The following is a 16,992-nucleotide window of genomic DNA, read 5'->3' as shown; positions in this document are numbered from 1 at the left end:
ATACAATATATATAATGTATTGATAGTGTGTGTCTGTGAGTCAGAGTACAAAAATATATATATAGATATACGTATCTATATAGATATACGTATATCTATATATATATATAGATATATATATATATTTTTTTTTTGAGATGGAGTCTCGATCTGTCACCCAGGCTGGAGTGCAGTGGCGTGGTCTCAGCTCACTGCAACCTCCGCCTCCTGGGTTCAAGCAATTCCCCTGCCTCAGCCTCCCGAGTAGCTGGGATTACAGGTGCCTGCCACCACGCCAGGCTAATTTTTTGTGTTTTTAGTAGAGATGGGTTTCACCATGTTGGCTAGGCTGGTCTTGAACTTCTGACCTTGTGATCTGCCCGCCTCGGCCTCCCAAAGTGTTGGGATTGCAGGCGTGAGCCACCGCGCTGGCAAATACGTACTACATTTTAACACCAGTTTTATTATTACACACACCGATAAAAAGGCCTGGGTATACAATCACATAATCATGGGTGTGGAACATATTTTCTTGCTTCTAAGAAAAAGAATAGAAAAGGTTAAAACCTGGGGGGAAAAAAATCCAGGTCACTTATTTTAATTAAGTATCTTTTAGACCTATTTAAGCTACTAAATCCTACATATCAACATAGGAAGGAAATATGATTCTGCAACTGCATTGATTTCCTCAAGATTCAAAATGGAAGTTTGTCTCTTTTTTTGAGAGAAAGTCTGGCTCTGTCACCAAGCTGGAGTACAGTGGCATGAACGTGGCTCATTGCAGCCTTGACCTGCTGGGCTCAAGCAATCTTCCTGCCTCAGTCTCCCAAGTGGCTAGGACTACAGGCGCACACCACCACGCCGACTACTTTTTAAATTTTTCGTACAGACAGGGTCTCACTATGTTGCCCAAGCTGTTCTCAAACTTCTGGCCTCAAGTGATCCTCTTGCCTCAGCCTCCTGTGTAGGTGGGACCACAGGCGTGTACCACCACACTAGGCTAATTTTAAAATTTGTGTAGAGATAGGGGGTCCCGCTTTGTTTCCCAGGCTGGAAAGTTTTTTTCTCTTAAAGCAGATGACCCTAGAACTAAATTTGCCACCAGTGGCCTTTATAAGCAAAGACAAAGGAATGAAAACATAAACAGGGAGGCTCAGTAGTCAGAAGGAAATGCCAAACTCCCACACAACTTCTAAGGGCCTTTTCCCATTCATCTAAAACAGTGACCTTCATTTCCTTCTACCCTGAAACTTAGTAAAAACAAGAAACAAAAAATTGGCATGGTAGCTCAAGCCTGTAATCTCAGTTTTTGGGAAGCTGAAACAGGAAGATCACTTGAGCCCAGGAGTTCAACACCAGCCTGGGCAACACAGGGAGACCCCATTTCTATTTAAAAAAAGAAAGAAAAAAAACCTGTTCCCCCACCGCCTCCCGCCCCAGGGTTATTAACATTTCTAGTGCATCAACTATGTGCCAGACATTTTATACACATTATCTCACCTATTCTTCACAAAGCGACACAAGGAAGTAATATCCCAGTTTCACAGGTGCAAAAACAGATGTTGACAAGTTAAGGGATTTGTGCAGGGTTCCAGTGCATTTAAGTGGCAGAGTCTGATTCCAAAACCTAAGCTCTTTGCAGTGAATCTGTAATGTCACTTCCCCAGTATACATTAAACTGGCTCGGTAGATAGGCCTGTTAACCCTGCCATAGTACTGCTGAGTTGATACTGTTAGATTTGATTCTTTTCTAATATGGACATTTCCAAACACACACAAAAGTCAGAAAAGTACATACAAAACAAAAACATAATCGCAATACTTCTATCTCACCTAAAAAATATTAATGTCTTAATATTAGTGTTTAAATTTCCCCTAAATATATCATTTTTATTATTAAGTTGTAATAGTTCTTTATATATTCTGGATACTAGATTTTTGTCAAATATGATCTACAAATAATTTCCTCCATTCTGTGGGTTCTCTTTTCTTTCTTTCTTTCTTTTTTTTTTTTTTGGGACGGAGTCTCGTACCTGTTGCCCAGGCTGGAGTGCAATGGCGCTATCTCGGCTCACTGCAACCTCCGCCTCCCGGGTTCAAGCAATTCTCCTGCCTCAGCCTCCCCAGTAGCTGTGACTACAGGCATGCGCCACCACGCCCAGCTAATTATGTATTTTTATTAGAGATGGGGTTTCACCATGTTGGCCAGGCTGGTCTCGAACTTCCGACCTCAGGTGATCCGCCTGCCTTGGCCACCCAAATTGCTGGGATTACAGGAGTTAGCCACTGCGCTCGGCCTCATTTTTTTTTCTTTTTTAGAGCCGAGGGTCTCACTATGTTGCCCAGGCTGAGGTACAATGACATGATCATAGCTGATTGCAGCCTCGAACTCCTGGGATCAAATGATCCTCCTACCTCAGCCTCCCAAGTAGTTGGGATTACAGGTACAAGCCACTGTGCCTGGCTCTGTTTTCACTTTCTTGATGACAACCATTACAGCACTTCCGTTTCAAAGTCTCATCATGTCCAATTTATCTAGTTTTCTTCTGTTGCTGGTGCCTTCAGTGTCTGATCTGAGAATCCTTTGCCATGCTGCCTTAGTTACTGTGGCTCTGTAGTAAGCTTTGAAAGAAAAAAAAATTTGAGTCTCCCTACTTTGTTCTTTTTCAAGACGGTCTTGGCTACCCTAGGTCCCTTGTAATTTCATATGAAGTTTTAATTTTTTTTTTTAGAGACAGGGTCTCACTATGTTGCCCAGGCTAGAGTGCAGTGGCTATTCAGACGCAATCCCACTACTGATCAGCATGAGAGTTTTGACCTGCTCCATTTCCAATCTGTGTTTGTTCACCCCTCTTTAGGCAACCTGGTGGTCCCCTGCTCCTGGGAGCCCAGAACTCCTGGGCTCAAGCCCTCCAGCAATCCTCCTGCCTCAGCCTCCCAAGTAGATGGGACTACAGGTGCATGCCATGGTGCCTGGCCCCATATGAATTTTAAATCAGTTTGTCAATTTCTACAAAATCAGCAGCTGGATCCTAATAGGGACCATGCTTAATCTGTAGACCAATTTGCAGAGTATTCCATCTTAATAATATTAAGTCTTCTGATTCAGGAACATGGCATGTCTTTCCATTTATTTAGATCTTCTTTCATTTCTTTCAGTGTTTTGTAGTTTTCAAAGCATAAGTTCTCCACTTATTTATTTATTTTTTGAGATGGAGTTTCGCTCTTGTTGCCCAGGCTGGAGTGCAGTGGAGGGATCCTGGCTCGCTGCAACCTCTGCTCCCAGGTTCAAGTGATTCTCCTGCCTCCACCTCCCGAGTAGCTGGGATTATAGGCACCCGCCATCATGCTCAGCTAATTTTTGTATTTTTAGTAGAGACGGGGTTTCACCATGTTGGCCAGGCTGGTCTCTACCTCCCGACCTCAGGTGATCCGCCCACCTCGGCCTCCCAAAGCGCTGAGACAACAGGCATGGGCCACCACGCCTAGCCTTCTGTACTTCTTTCGTTAAATTTATTCCTAGCTATTTTACTATTTTTGATGCCAAGTGGAAGAATTTTTAATATTTCATTTTAGTATTGTTCACTGCAAGTGTATAAAAATACTATTTTTATATATTGATCCCGGATTCTCCAACCTTGCTAAGCTTGTTAGTTCTAATAGAGGATAACCTAGGATCTTCTATAGACTAGATCATCACATCTGCAAACAGAGGCAGTTTACTTCTTCCTTTCCAATATGGATTCCTTTAGTTTTCTTGCTTAACTGCCCGGTCTAGAACATCCAGCACCATGTTGGACAGGAGTGGAGTGGGAAAACAGCCTTGTCTTGCTGCTGATCTTAGTGGAAAAAATCCAGTCTTTCACCATTAAATATGTTAACTGTGAGTTTTTCATATACGGTCTTTATCGTGTTGAGGTAGTTACCTTCTATTGTTTGCTATTATTCCTTCATTTGTAGAGTGTGGCTTTTTTAAAAAAAATCATGAAAGAGTGTTGCATTTTGCTAACATGTTTTTTCTGCACCTACTGAGAAAATCATGTGGTTTTGTCTTTTATCCTATTGATATGATGCATTATATTGATATGCAGACTTTTTTTTTTTTTTTTGAGACGGAGTCTTGCTCTGTCGTCCAGGCTGTAGTGCAGTGGTGCGATCTTGGCTCACTGCAGCCCCTGCCTCCCGGGTTCCAGCAATTCTCCTGCCTCAGCCTCCTGGGTAGCTGGGATTACAGGCATGCACTACCATGCCCAGCTAATTTTTGTATTTTTAGTAGAGACAGGGTTTTGCCATGTTGGTCCGGCTGATCTCGAACTCCTGACCTCAAGTGATCTGCCCACCTTGGCTTCCCAAAGTGCTAGGATTACAGGTGTGAGCCACCGCACCTGGCCTGATATGCAGATGTTAAACCAACCTTTCATTCCCCAGAAGACTCTGACTTCCTCATGGGTACTGCATTCAGTCTGGTTGTACTTTGTTGAGGATTTTTGTGTCCATGTTCCTAAGAGATCCTGGCTGGTTTGTAGTTTTCCTTTTTTTTTTTTAGAGGCAGACAGGGTCTTGCTCTGTCACCGAGACTGCAGTGCAGTAGCACGATCACAGCTCAGTGGAGTCTTGAACTCCAGGGCCCAAGTGATGCTTGTGCCTCATCCTTCCAAAGCGTTGGGCTTACAGGCCTGAACCACTGTGTTTAGTCATTTTCATTTCTTCTGATGTCTTTTGTTTGGTTTTGTTATCAGGATAATATGGGCCTCATACAATGAGTTGGAAGTACTCCCTCCTACTCTATTTTTTAGCATAGTTTGGGAAGAATTTCCTCTAGCCCTGTCAAGCAATAATCTACTTTCTGTTCTATGGATTTGCCTGTTCTGGACATTTTATATGAATGGAATCATACAATATATGTCCTTTTGTGTCTGGCTTCTTTTACTTAATGTTTTCAAGGTTCATCCATGTTGTTGTATGGGACGAGCACTTCATTCCTTTTAATGGCCAATTAACATTGCATGGACAGACATTTTGTTTCTCCATTCATGAACTAGACATTTGAGTTGTTTCCACTATTTTGGCTATTATGAATAACGTTGCTATGAACATGAGTGTACAGTTGCTGCATGAATATGCTTTCCATTCGCTTAGGTATATACTTATGAGTGCAGTTGCTGGTTCATAGAATCACTGTTCAACTTTTTGAGGAACTGCCAATCTGTTTTCCAAAGCAACTGCATCACTTTACATTCCCACAAAGGTTCCAATTTCTCCACATCCTTAATAACACTTATTATTGTCTTCTTGATTCTAGTCATGCCAGCGGGTGTGAAATGGCACCTTGTTGTGGTTTTGATTTGTATTTTCCTAATGACTAATGACGCTGAACATCTTTTCGTATGCACTTATTGGCCGTTTGTGTATCTTCTTTGGAGAAATGTCTATTCAACTACATCGTTATTTTAAAATTGAATTATTAGCCTTTATTAAGTTACAGTAGTTCTTTATAGATTCTGGATATTATACGCCTATGAGATATGTGATTTGCTAACATTTTCTCATTCTGGAAGCTGTCTTTTCACTTTTTTTTTTCTTTTGGTAGAGACAGGGTCTCACTATGTTGTCCAGGCTGGTCTTGAACTCATGCCCTCAAGCAGTTCTCCTGCCTTGGCCTCCCAAAGTTCTGGGATTATAGGCATGAGCCACCATCCCCGGCTCACTTTCTTGACAGTGTCCTTTCAGCCTAACAGTTTTTAACTTTGGAGAAGTCCAGTTTATCTATATTTTTTTTTACTTTAGTTTTTTGCATTTTTGGTGTCATGTCTAAAAAACCACTGCCAGATCCAGTCATGAAATTTTAAATCTGTATTTTCTTCTAAGAGTTTTACAGTTTTAGGTATCATATTTAGGTCTTTGATCCATTTTTAATTTTTATAAAGTGTATGGAGATTCCATGAACTCTTTAAAACCCCATTAATTCCTTTTTTTTTTTTTTTTTTTGAGACGGAGTCTTCCTCTGTCGCCCAGGCTGGAGTGCAGTGGCGCGACCGCAACTCAGTGCAACCTCCACCTCCCGGGTTCAAGCCATTCTCCTGCCTCAGCCTCCTGAGCAGCTGGGATTACAGGTGCCCACCACGCCTGGCCCTAGAAGCCTGATTTTTAAGATTTTAAAACAGGCTGGGTGCAGTGGCTCATGCCTATAATCCCAGCACTTTGTGAGGCTGAGGTGGGCAGATCACTTGAGGTCAGAAGTTCGAGACCAGCTTGACCAACATGGCAAAACCCTGTCTCTACTAAAAATACAAAAATTAGCTGGGCATGGTGGCACATGCCTGTAATCCCACCTACTCAGGAGGCTGAGACAGGAGAATCGCTTGAACCCAGGAGGCGGAGGCTGCCATGAGGCGAGATCGAACCACTGAACTTCAGCCTGGGTGACAAGAAGAAGATTCCATCAAAAAATAAATAAATAAATAAATAAATTTTCAGACAAAGCAAGACAGGGAGTCCTTTTATCCAACTCAGTTTGGTAAAATAAGGTGCAATTCCTTCTAAATATTTTGACTTATTACCTCTAAAAAGAACACTAAAAACTGGTTTTGTTTCATGTATAAAATGATAAAATTATCTCCAATCTTTGTGGGATTCCATACAAGGCATGGATGCCACAGAACACAGCTTTTATAGTAGTGATGCAGGAAAAAAATAAATTCAAAACACAGTGGTAATTTGTACATATAAAGTCCTCAACATCATTTCTCTCTCATAGACACACAGTGAAATGGGGTTAAGACAACTGTCCTGAGTAGGGTCCATAAACAGACATTGCGCAGAAGAGTCAAATGTTATGGAAACCTACAAGCTGTAAATGAATATCCCTGTTACATTTGGCATGCTAGTTTTGACAGCCAAATCATGCTAGTTGTGATAGTTAAATTTTAGGAAATTCCAAATACTGTGGCACATACTAGGGTACTCACAGGAGAGAGTTTCTGGATAAGGTCATGGGCAACATGGACCAGGTTCTTGTCTTCATGGAGACATTTCTGAAACTTTTTGCTCTCCTCATCTTCTAAAAGATCAAAATCAATGGCAGCATCCAGTAAGGCCTGAATTAACCCCTTCCAGGATTTGAGGGCTGGAACTTGGGGCGCAACTGCAGCACTAATGCCTGTTCCAATCACTAGCACAAGTTCTCGAGGCTTCTTAGTTTTTAAGCTTGGAAGCAGCTTCCTATAAAAGCAAAACAAATGAGAGGATTGGAATATCCAATAGATATGAGGCACACAGAAAGACTGTCTGACTCAGGTTACAGTTTTTAGCTAACTTTTATAGTTGCAAAGAAGATGAACAGCAGTTTTTGACACCTTTCCAAAGCAGTTTAAAGAAAACAACCAGAATATTGTGTCAGTGCTTGCTGAAAAACAAGTCATAAACCTATTTCAGGAATCCCAAAACCAATCTTAAAATCAGTTTTCCCTTCCTAGTCCTCTCAACCTAAGAAATTCCACTAATATTAGGAAAAGATCCAAATAGACTATAGCTCAGCTGACTTCTGCCAACTAAATTATATTTTAAACCAGTATTAAATTTCAAAAGAAGACGTTTGATTTGTACTCTAGAAAAAGAGAAAAGAACCCCAGGACAAATTAAGTTCCTATTATTGAGAAATGTAAAACACTAGGGGAAAGGCAATACAAAATTTAATTCTGAATTTTGTAAACATTAACCTCAGGCAAAAAAAAAAAAGAAAAAAAAAGTGGCCAATAGAATTCTGAAAACACAGGGGCCCTACATACCTAAATAAAGACATTAACTAATCAAAGGACATGACAAAAAGTGAAAAACATTCCTTTCTTACCATGATAAGCAGAGACAGACTTCTCTGTTCTGAGGCCCATATGTGAGACAGCATGGGTGCTAATTTTTGTTTTTGTTCCCCTCTCTTTCATTCTGGAGACTATCCCTGCTTGAAATATGTTCCTTCACATTAATTTTTGCTGATGGCATGTTCCCCTCCCCTGAAAATGGCTTCTCCCCAACCTTTTTGTCTAAATAATAAAATGGAGAGGATCAGCATTTTGGCATAACTCAAGAAAGGAATAGCACTTTCAAGCCTTGGGAAACCTGGTTTTGGGGACACAGCCTCTAAAACTGCTTTCCCTAACCCGAGCTTCTGCATTCAGTCATTCAACAAATATGAAAAACCGAGGCCAGGAGCAGTGGCTCACGCCTGTAATCCCAGCACTTTGGGGGGCCAAGGTGGGCTGATTACTTGAGGTCAGGAGTTCAAGACCAGCCTGGCCAACATGGTGAAACTCTGTGTCTACTAAAAATACAAAAATTAGCTGGGTCTGGTGGCGCACACCTGTAGTCCCAGCTACTAGGGAGGCTGAGGCAGGAAAGGAAAACCTGTATGTACCAGACACTACGGGAGTCATGTATCCATGAACAAAATGGAGTCCCTGATCTTGAAAGATCAGTCTACTAGAAAAGACATTAATAATAGATGTTAGAAGCAAATGATGAAAAATGAGTTTCAGTTCAGAGCAATCAAGATAGTGAAGCATACACAAATCCACATAAACAAATATACACACACATAGAAAATTTCTAGGATTCACAAGATGTATAAATAGTGGTTAAATGGGGATAGCAGAGAATAAGGACTTTTTACTTTTCATTTTATACTGTTGTACTGTATTTTTTTATATAACATACAGATTTGAACTATAATTCTTCCTAATTAAGACTTCCAATTTGGCTAAGTGCAGTGGTTCATGCCTGTAATCTCAGCACTTTAGGAGGCTGAGCTTGAGCCCAGGAGTTTGAGACAAGCCTAGGCAACTTAGTGAGACCCCATCTCTGCCAAACAAAGAAAGAACGAAAAAGAAAATTAGGCACGTCTGTAGTCCCAGCTACCTGGGAGGCTAAGTTCACGGGAGGATCACGTGAGCCCAGGAGGCTGAGGTTGCAGTGAGCTGTGTTTGTGCCACTGCACTCCAGCCTGGGTGACAGAACAAGACCTTGTCTCGAAAAAAAAAAAAAAAAAGACTTCCACTTAAAAATAAAACATTTAACAATTGTGTTTTATTACTGGTTCTTTGTAAACCACCAAATAATAGTTACTTTTTTTTTTTAGCGGGTATATATACCTAAAAAGTAGGCTAGGTAAAGATGACAGCAGACAACAGAGGTCAAAGGGCAACAACATTTTACCAATTGTAATGCAAAGGCCGATTCCCTTGGTAGAATTTTGGGAATGTTCATGTACATCTAAAGGTAGAGGGGCTGGTGGGGCTAAAATAGGAGAATCAGTTACAAGCCTTTAACAGTTACAACTTTCAGCAGGCTAGAGGTTTCCCTTCTGCAGAGGTTGACCAGAGGACTATATCTGAGAACACTGCACACAGCTGAGGGTGGGGATTAAGTAAAAGTCTGTATATAAAATACAAGATTTCCCCCAACTCTCTTTCCCCAGAGGAAGCTTTTCAGACTCTAGGAATCAACTCTGTACCTGCACCCCTATCCCCCATCCAGTTAGGAAATGAGGACGATTCCTCTTTCAGGAAAATGGCCAGTATGAGATGAAAAACCTGCAGATTCTGACAGGTGGGAATTCCTTAACTCTACATAGAGTCTGGGACCAAGCCCCTTATGTACACACAGATTCTCCAACTGGCTTTTTTTTTTGAGATGGAATCTCGTAATCTTGGCTCACTGCAACCTCTGCCTCCTGGGTTCAAGTGATTCTCTTGCTTCAGCCTCCCGAGTAGCTGGGATTACAGGCACGTGCCACCACACCCAGCCAATTTTTGTATTTTTAGTAGAGACGGGGTTTCACCAGGTTGGCCAGGCTGGTCTCAAACTCCTGACCTCAAGTGATCCGCCTGCCTTGGCCTCCCAAAGTGCTGGGATTACAGGCGTGAGCCACCGCACCCGGCCTCTTCCATTGGCTTTTTGGTGTTTTCTGTTAAAAATGGGCAGACAAACAAGGGTCACCTCACATCTGAGGAAAGCCCCCAACATAACAGTTATACCAAACAAACTAGCAGGTAGAGAGAAATCTGAAGGAAATAAGAGATAGTATGGGAAGGAGAAAAAAAAATTAAAAGAAAACAATGATATCCTCACATATATTTTTTCTTTTCTTTTTTTTTTTTTTTTTGGAGACGGAGTCTAGCTTTGTTGCCAGGCTGGAGTGCAGTGACACAATCTCAGCTCACTGCAACCTCCGCCTCCCAGGTTCAAGTGATTCTCCTGCCTCAGCCTCCCGAGTAGCTGGGATTACAGGCACGCGCCACCACGCCCCGCTAATTTTTTTTTTTTTTTTTTTTTTTTTTTAGTAGAGACAGGGTTTCACTATGTTACCCAGGTACCCAGGATGGTCTCGATCTCCTGACCTCACGATCTGCCCACCTCAGCCTCCCAAAGTGCTGGGATGACAGGCGTGAGCCACCGAGCCTGGCCTAGATTTTTTTAAAATTGGCCAGGTGGGGTGGCTCACGCCTGTCATCCCAGCACTTTGGGAGGCCAAGGCAGGTGGATCACTTGAGGTCAGGAGTTTGAGATCAGCCTGGTCAACATGGTGAAAACCTGTCTTTATTTAAAAAATAAATAAATAAATAAAATAAAAATTAGCCAGGTGTGGTAGAGCACGTTTGTAATCCCAGCTACTCAGGAGGCTGAGGCAGGAGAATTGCTTGAACCCGGGAGGCAGAGGTTGCAGTGAGCTGAGATTGCACCATTGCACTCCAGCCTGGGCAACAGAGCGAGACTCCATCTCAAAAAAAAAAAAAAAAAAAAAAAGGCCAGGCGCGGTGGCTCACGTCTGTAATCCCTGCACTTTAGGAGGCTGAGGCAGGTGGATCATGAGGTCAGGAGATTAAGGCCATCCTGGCTAACACAGTGAAATCCCGTCTCTACTAAAAATACAAAAAATTAGCCGGGCATGGTGGCGGGCGCCTGTAGTCCCAGCTACTCGGGAGGCTGAGGCAGGAGAATGGTGTGAACCCGGGAGGCAGAGCTTGCAATGAGCCGAGATAGTGTCACTGCACTCCAGCCTGGGAGACAGTGAGACTCTGTCTAAAAAAAAAAAAAAAAAAAAGCATCTGTGAAACATAAACAGAGTGCTATGAAAAAATGAACAAACAAAAAGACTTCATAAATCAAAAATAACGCAACAGAAATTTTTAAATCCACAAGATAAAACAGAGAACCCCCGAGAAAGCTAAATTTAAGAAAACGAAATGGGGGGGAAAAAAATAAAGCAACACATAAAAAATTAGAGACTTAATACAAGAAGTCCAACATCTGAATAACAAGAGTTTTAAAAAAATGTGGAATAGAAAAAACATTGTAATGGAAAGTATCAAAAAAGTAATATAAGTCAACTTCTCCAAAGTGAAGGTACTAGTTGCCAGCTTTAAAGAGCTGCCCGGTGTCTAGATTCATATGACAAGATACATCACTGTGAAATTTCAGGTTACTGAGAATAAAATAATGATCCTTATAAGCTTCTAATGAACAACAACAACAACAAAAATGAAACAAAACAAAACAAAAAACAGGGAAAGAGGTCATACAATACAAAGGATTGGGAATCAGAACAGAGTGGCTATTTTGGCAGGAATACTTAGATGTTAGCAGAGTATGAATGAGAGATACTAAAAATTCTATACTCAGTCAAACCATCAAATGAATGTAAGTGTATGATAAAGACCTTTTCAAATATGTCCAAATAATTTTCTCCTATGGGTCCTTACTTAGGAGGCTATGCAAGGACATGCTTCAGGAAAACAAAGGCGTGCACCAAAAAAGAGGACATGAGATCCAGCAAACAGAGAATCGATACAGGAGAGATGTAAAGGAAATTATCAGGATGATGGGAATGGGAAATAGCAAATATCAGGAACGCAACAGGACTGGAGAACAAGTGTCCAGAGTGGACTAGCATCCAGAAGGAAGAATCCATGACACAAACCAGCAAGTTATCGGTGTGTTTCAGTATAGCTAGGAGATTTATTCTTCTGTCAGAGCATGTGAGAATACATTGAAAGCAAACAAACAAACAAAAAAGACAGTCTTTAATGACATAAGCAAAAAAAATGGGCAAGAAAGGAAACATAATCGTTACGCATTAGGCTCAGCTATGAATACTACTTATACAGTCGTAATAATGTAAATATTAAAAGTGGATTGAACCAGGCCGGGCACAGTGGCTCACGCCTATAATCCCAGCACTTTGGGAGGCCGAGGCGGGTGGATCACGAGGTCAGGGGTTCGAGACCAGCCTGACCAACATGGTCAAACCCCATCTCTACTAAAAATACAAAAAAATTAGCTGGGCATGGTGGCAGGCACCTGTGATCTCAGCTACTCAGGAGGCTGAGGCAGGAGAATTTCTTGAACCCGGGAGGTGGAGGTTGCAGTGAGCCAAGATCGTGCCACTGAACTCCAGCTTGGGCGACACAGCAAGACTCTGTCTCAAAAAAAAAAGTGGATTGAACCAAACACTGTGACACAAACATACAAGAACATGGGGAGAGTGTGTGGAGTGGCAATACAGAGGGAGGAGTCATGAGAGCAAAGCAGTCCTTATATTCCATACTCAGAAATCAATAAAACCAAAAAACTAAAAAGCAGCAATATATATAGTATTTTCAAACATGGATGTCAACATTAGAAGAAACAGGTAAAGTTGAAAGTGATTATCTCTGAGGAAGGGCGGACTTTGAAATACTGATTTTAAAAACTATGTACCTGTACTGCCTTGATAAAAAATAAAAATTAAACCCAAAATAAAAACAATTTAATTTTGAGTATGAAGGTCAATACTAATTAGTGAAAACAACTGATATAGAAGGTATAAGTTGGCTATTTTTCTTTCTCTCCCACTAATGGTAATTTACTCTGCTGATTCCCTTCTCTTGTTTACCTGGGCTTTTTGGTGGGAGGTTCGCCATCGTTGAAGAATCCAAAAATCTCGTCTATATCAGAGGCCTGGCTCCCTGTAGAAGCCATCCAGTTTCTAAAATAGATTAAACACCATGAACCACAATTAGATCTGTAAAGTATACTATTCAAAATAGCACATATATTAAACAGTTTAAAAAAGCTGTATACCCTTAAAGGTGTTTTGGAGGTGCCCCCTACTTAACAGAAATTTGTTAATTAATGAACATTCTAAACAAGGAGCTAAATTAAATTAGTCTAAAAGAAGTAATCTGGAAATTATAGGACTTTGGTGCTCCATACTACCATCTTGCTTCTGTTTCTGAAGGCCTGCCCCCAAGTTCCCACCAAAAACAGTGTCAACTCATGTCAATTACTGGCCATCACTTTGTAGAACTTAAGAAAAACCAGTTATTCTCCCACAAGATGGGTTTGCGGAAGACTCAGGGGATAAAAACCACCCATAGATAAGTGTATTAATAGCCCCCAATTACCCATTTACTCTCAGCTGAAGAAATTACTGAGTCAAGAACAGAACAATCAATACTAATTTGCTGAATGACATTCTCTGTTGTTGGACGATGGTGACCTTGTAGCCAGTGGGGCATGTCTCTCTAACTAAACATGAAGTGGACTTCAAATCAAGCCACTGTGATGACTGGTAAATGTATCATCAAGCAAAGATGTATGAAAAATGGCCAATTATGTTCGGGTGCTGGAATAACTGGCAAAAGTAAATAATTACCATGGATTAGAATGAATACTATAAAGTTCTAAGTGCTCAAACTTTGGCAAACTTGTTAAATCTAAAGACTGTGAATTTAAAAATAGTAATAGTATTTTAAACACACACACAATATAGAAGACAATACATACTACCACCGTTTGGGGTGTTTTAGTACATTCCACTGGCAACATATAGAACTGAATTACTAATAATTACTGCAAGTTTACTGTTTTATTAGAAAGCCCTTTTCTTTTCTTTTTTTGAGACTGGGTCTTGCTCTGTTGTCCAGGCTAGAGTACAGTGGCGCCATCTTGGCTCACTGCAGTCTCGGCCTCCTGGGCTCAAGCGATCAACCCACCTCAGCCTCTCCATCACCTGGGACTACAGGCACATGCTACCACATCTGGTGGAATTTTGTACTGTTTGTAGAGAGGGGGTTTTGCCATGTTGCCCAGCTGGTCTCTAACTCCTGAGCTCAAGTAATCTTCCAGCCTTGGCCTCCCAAAATGTTGGGATTACAGGCATGAGCCACTGCACCCAGCCCAAAAAAGCCTTTTTCTTTATTAAAACACTAAGTTTCTGAATTAATTTTTTGTGGTAAACAGAAGGCTCACATCCTCACCCCATAGTCCATCACACGCAGTGTAATTCTTCTTTATATCATAATCATAAGGTAAATAGAAATAATACAGTCACAGTAGTGAGTTAGGAAGTAGATCATGTTTCCAGTCAAATCTTTGATTCTGTTGGTGAGAAAGCTGGGGCTCAGGAGAAGACAGATGAGTCACTTATCTCAGTAAATCCTGCCTTAACACAACCATGTAGGTTTTTCTGGGTTTTTTGTTTTGTTTTGTTTTTGAGACAGAGTTTTGCTCTTGTTGCCCAGCCTGGAGTGCACTGGCGCAATCTCGGCTCACTGCAACCTCCGCCTCCTGGCAGTTGCTCCCTTCAAGCAATCCTCCTGCCTCAGCCTCCTGAGTAGCTGGGATTACAGGCATGCGCCACTATGCCCAGCTAATTTTGTATTTTTAGTAGAGACAGAATTTCTTCATGTTGATCAGGCTGGTCTCGAACTCCTGACCTCAGGTGATCCGCCCGCCTCAGCCTCCCAAAGTGTTGGGATTACAGGTGTGAGCCACCGCACCCAGCTGGGATGTTTGTTAAAAGTATATATATTCTTGAAAATAAAGTTAATTCATTAAATTAAAAAAGTTTGTTTCTAGGCTCTACTCCAAAATTACAGAATCAGATTCTCCAGAATCTTCCTTCAAATAGGAAACACCTAAATAAGATGCAAACTTAATTTTTCTACAATGCAACAATTTTGTTAAATATAGGATGCACATGAAGTATACCATTAAGCCATCTTCCCTTAAGTGTAATAACTTATTACAGTCTAACGACTTCCCAGTTTGCTTATAACAATAGCCAGGTTTTAAGTGTCCTTAAAATATTTTTATGAAGTTTTAACTTATGTGACTCACTTCCGATTCTAAAAGTCAACGCTCTAGAATGGTGAACTAGGGGTAGAATGTGTTTACTTCTTCCACACACAGGACAATCCATTAGTTTGGGGATATATATTTTTTTAAGTTTTTTTAAGGAAAAAATATATTTTTTTAAAAAAAAATATTTTTTAAGTTTTAAAAAAACTTTAAAAAACTTAAAAAAATATATTTTTTAAGTTGTTTTTAAGGAAAAAACTTAGGTGCTTAAGTTCTTTTCTTAAATATGGTTCTATAAACCCATCATCTAAACAGATGACATGCAAGTAAAAACACTATATTGAGAGAGATGAAAGTAAAATGTAGAGGGAAGTTCATGCTTATTAAGTTTTGAAGATGGACATCTTCAGAATTCAATGCTCAATTCAGCTACTAAGCCAGTTTACAAGCTCTTAACTACATGCCATGGACTATTTATAAACATTAACTCATTAATCCGCATAACCTTACGAGGCATTGTTCTTACCTTATTTTACAGATGAGAAAACTGAGGCACAGAAAGATCGGGTACTTGGTAGTACCAGTATTCAAACCATGGCAACTGTGCCTCTCAAGTCCAAGTTCTTAACTACACTATTGCTAAACAGGAAATGCTCAATGGAACATTTCAGATTTCAGATTTTTTGGACTAGGGATGCTCAACCGTTAAGTATAATGCAAATATTAAAAACAAAACAAAACAAAAAAATCCCCTAGAAATCCAAAACACTTCTTTCTGCTCACAAGCATTTTAGATGAGGAATAATAAACCTGTATTAACTTTTCAGCCAAAACAAACAAAAAAAAACTTAAAGTCCAAAACTATCAACAAAGGAAGTGCCTGCATTCTAGAAAGGAGATTTACTTGAAGTAATGCCAAGTAATCCTTAACAGCTGCTTGTTAACTAGGTACTCCATTGATGCAATCTTGGCAGTCAACTACATTCAGAAGCTGGGAAAACTACTTTCTCCAGTGACAAGCACTATTTGTTATATACTTCTCACTACCACTTATCCACCAGAGCCTAGATCTGTCCTACCATTTTGTCCTGGAAATTACGTAAGATCGTTTTTGCTGGATTCTATTTCTGCCAGATGGTTAATTCATGATGTCTAGACCTGAATACTAAGCTTTCTGACTTATTTCTTTACACAGTCAACTTTTCTGAAGGTCCATTCCAACTACTATTACTTTAAAAAATTAAATATAGCCAATCGCTTCTGACTGAGAATGTTTAGGGTCTTCTTATTTAGGTACTGAATGAGACGTAGCTCAGCATGCCTACATTATATCCAATCATATACTCATCCTGTTTTCTAACAGAGAAACATATTTTCTTTACCCTAAAGGATGCCTCACATGATACAATCTCACATGTATACCCCAGTGGCATATAAGCACAAACCATATTTTATTCCTTCTAGAGTACTGTTTTCAGGAAAAAAAAATCAATTTTAGCATGTACCCTAAACAAAATGCAGTTATTGCTAAAGAGCTTCAAAGCTAGTTCACACTTTAATTTTTTTTATGTGATCACGTTTGAGTTTTCATTTTTGTGGGACTTGCTATGTATAGCAAAAATGGAAAATGTTTTTCTGCCACAAGAAAACAAAGTCAATTACCTGTGGCAGTGTCTTCATTACCTCAATTACTGCTAAGCCACTGAGAAATCCTTCAAGGCCAATAGAGTACAGCAAAATAAAAGTCAGATACTTGGTAAAAGATGAGCAAAGTAACAGCAACCTCATTAACAGAAATGTTAAGGCTGAAGTCTTCATATGAGACAGAACACTTGTACTTTGAAACCTGTCAGCTTGGCAGGAAATGTAATGCTTCTATCTCTGGTGGATGAAAAAGGA

At 40.4% G+C, this 16,992-nt stretch overlaps 2 protein-coding genes and 1 pseudogene across 6 annotated transcripts in view, besides 1 other annotated feature; 1 reads left to right on the top strand and 2 right to left on the bottom strand.

Moving 5' to 3' along the window:
* SRPRA (SRP receptor subunit alpha) overlaps nucleotides 1-12,062 on the top strand; it is a 32,966-nt gene extending 20,904 nt beyond the window's left edge. Inside the window, exon 14 of the mRNA XM_047427497.1 lies at nucleotides 11,737-12,062. Coding sequence (XP_047283453.1) covers nucleotides 11,737-11,920 — 184 coding nt within the window. The 3' untranslated portion in view covers nucleotides 11,921-12,062. The remainder of the gene's footprint in view (nucleotides 1-11,736) is intronic.
* FAM118B (family with sequence similarity 118 member B) overlaps nucleotides 1-16,992 on the bottom strand; it is a 51,264-nt gene that overhangs the window by 14,996 nt on the left and 19,276 nt on the right. For all 5 annotated transcript variants that reach the window (XM_011542978.4, NM_001330446.2, NM_001439324.1 and 2 more), the window contains 2 exons: nucleotides 12,905-12,997; nucleotides 6,948-7,200 (listed from right to left, as the gene is read on the bottom strand). In XM_011542978.4, coding sequence (XP_011541280.2) covers nucleotides 6,948-7,200; nucleotides 12,905-12,990 — 339 coding nt within the window. In that variant the 5' untranslated portion in view covers nucleotides 12,991-12,997. The remainder of the gene's footprint in view (nucleotides 1-6,947; nucleotides 7,201-12,904; nucleotides 12,998-16,992) is intronic.
* Nucleotides 2,710-2,957, bottom strand: RN7SL351P (RNA, 7SL, cytoplasmic 351, pseudogene; annotated as a pseudogene).
* Nucleotides 16,012-16,212: a silencer, noted in NCBI's record as "peak1503 fragment used in MPRA reporter construct". NCBI's record gives its function as "represses an SCP1 promoter by STARR-seq MPRAs in K562 erythroleukemia cells {active_cell/tissue: K562}" and the evidence as "EXISTENCE:reporter gene assay evidence [ECO:0000049][PMID:32103011]".

This window comes from Homo sapiens, chromosome 11 (assembly GCF_000001405.40).
Source record: "Homo sapiens chromosome 11, GRCh38.p14 Primary Assembly".
In the NCBI taxonomy this organism is placed as follows: Eukaryota; Metazoa; Chordata; class Mammalia; order Primates; family Hominidae; genus Homo; species Homo sapiens.
This window is presented reverse-complemented; position numbering and strand designations above follow the sequence as displayed.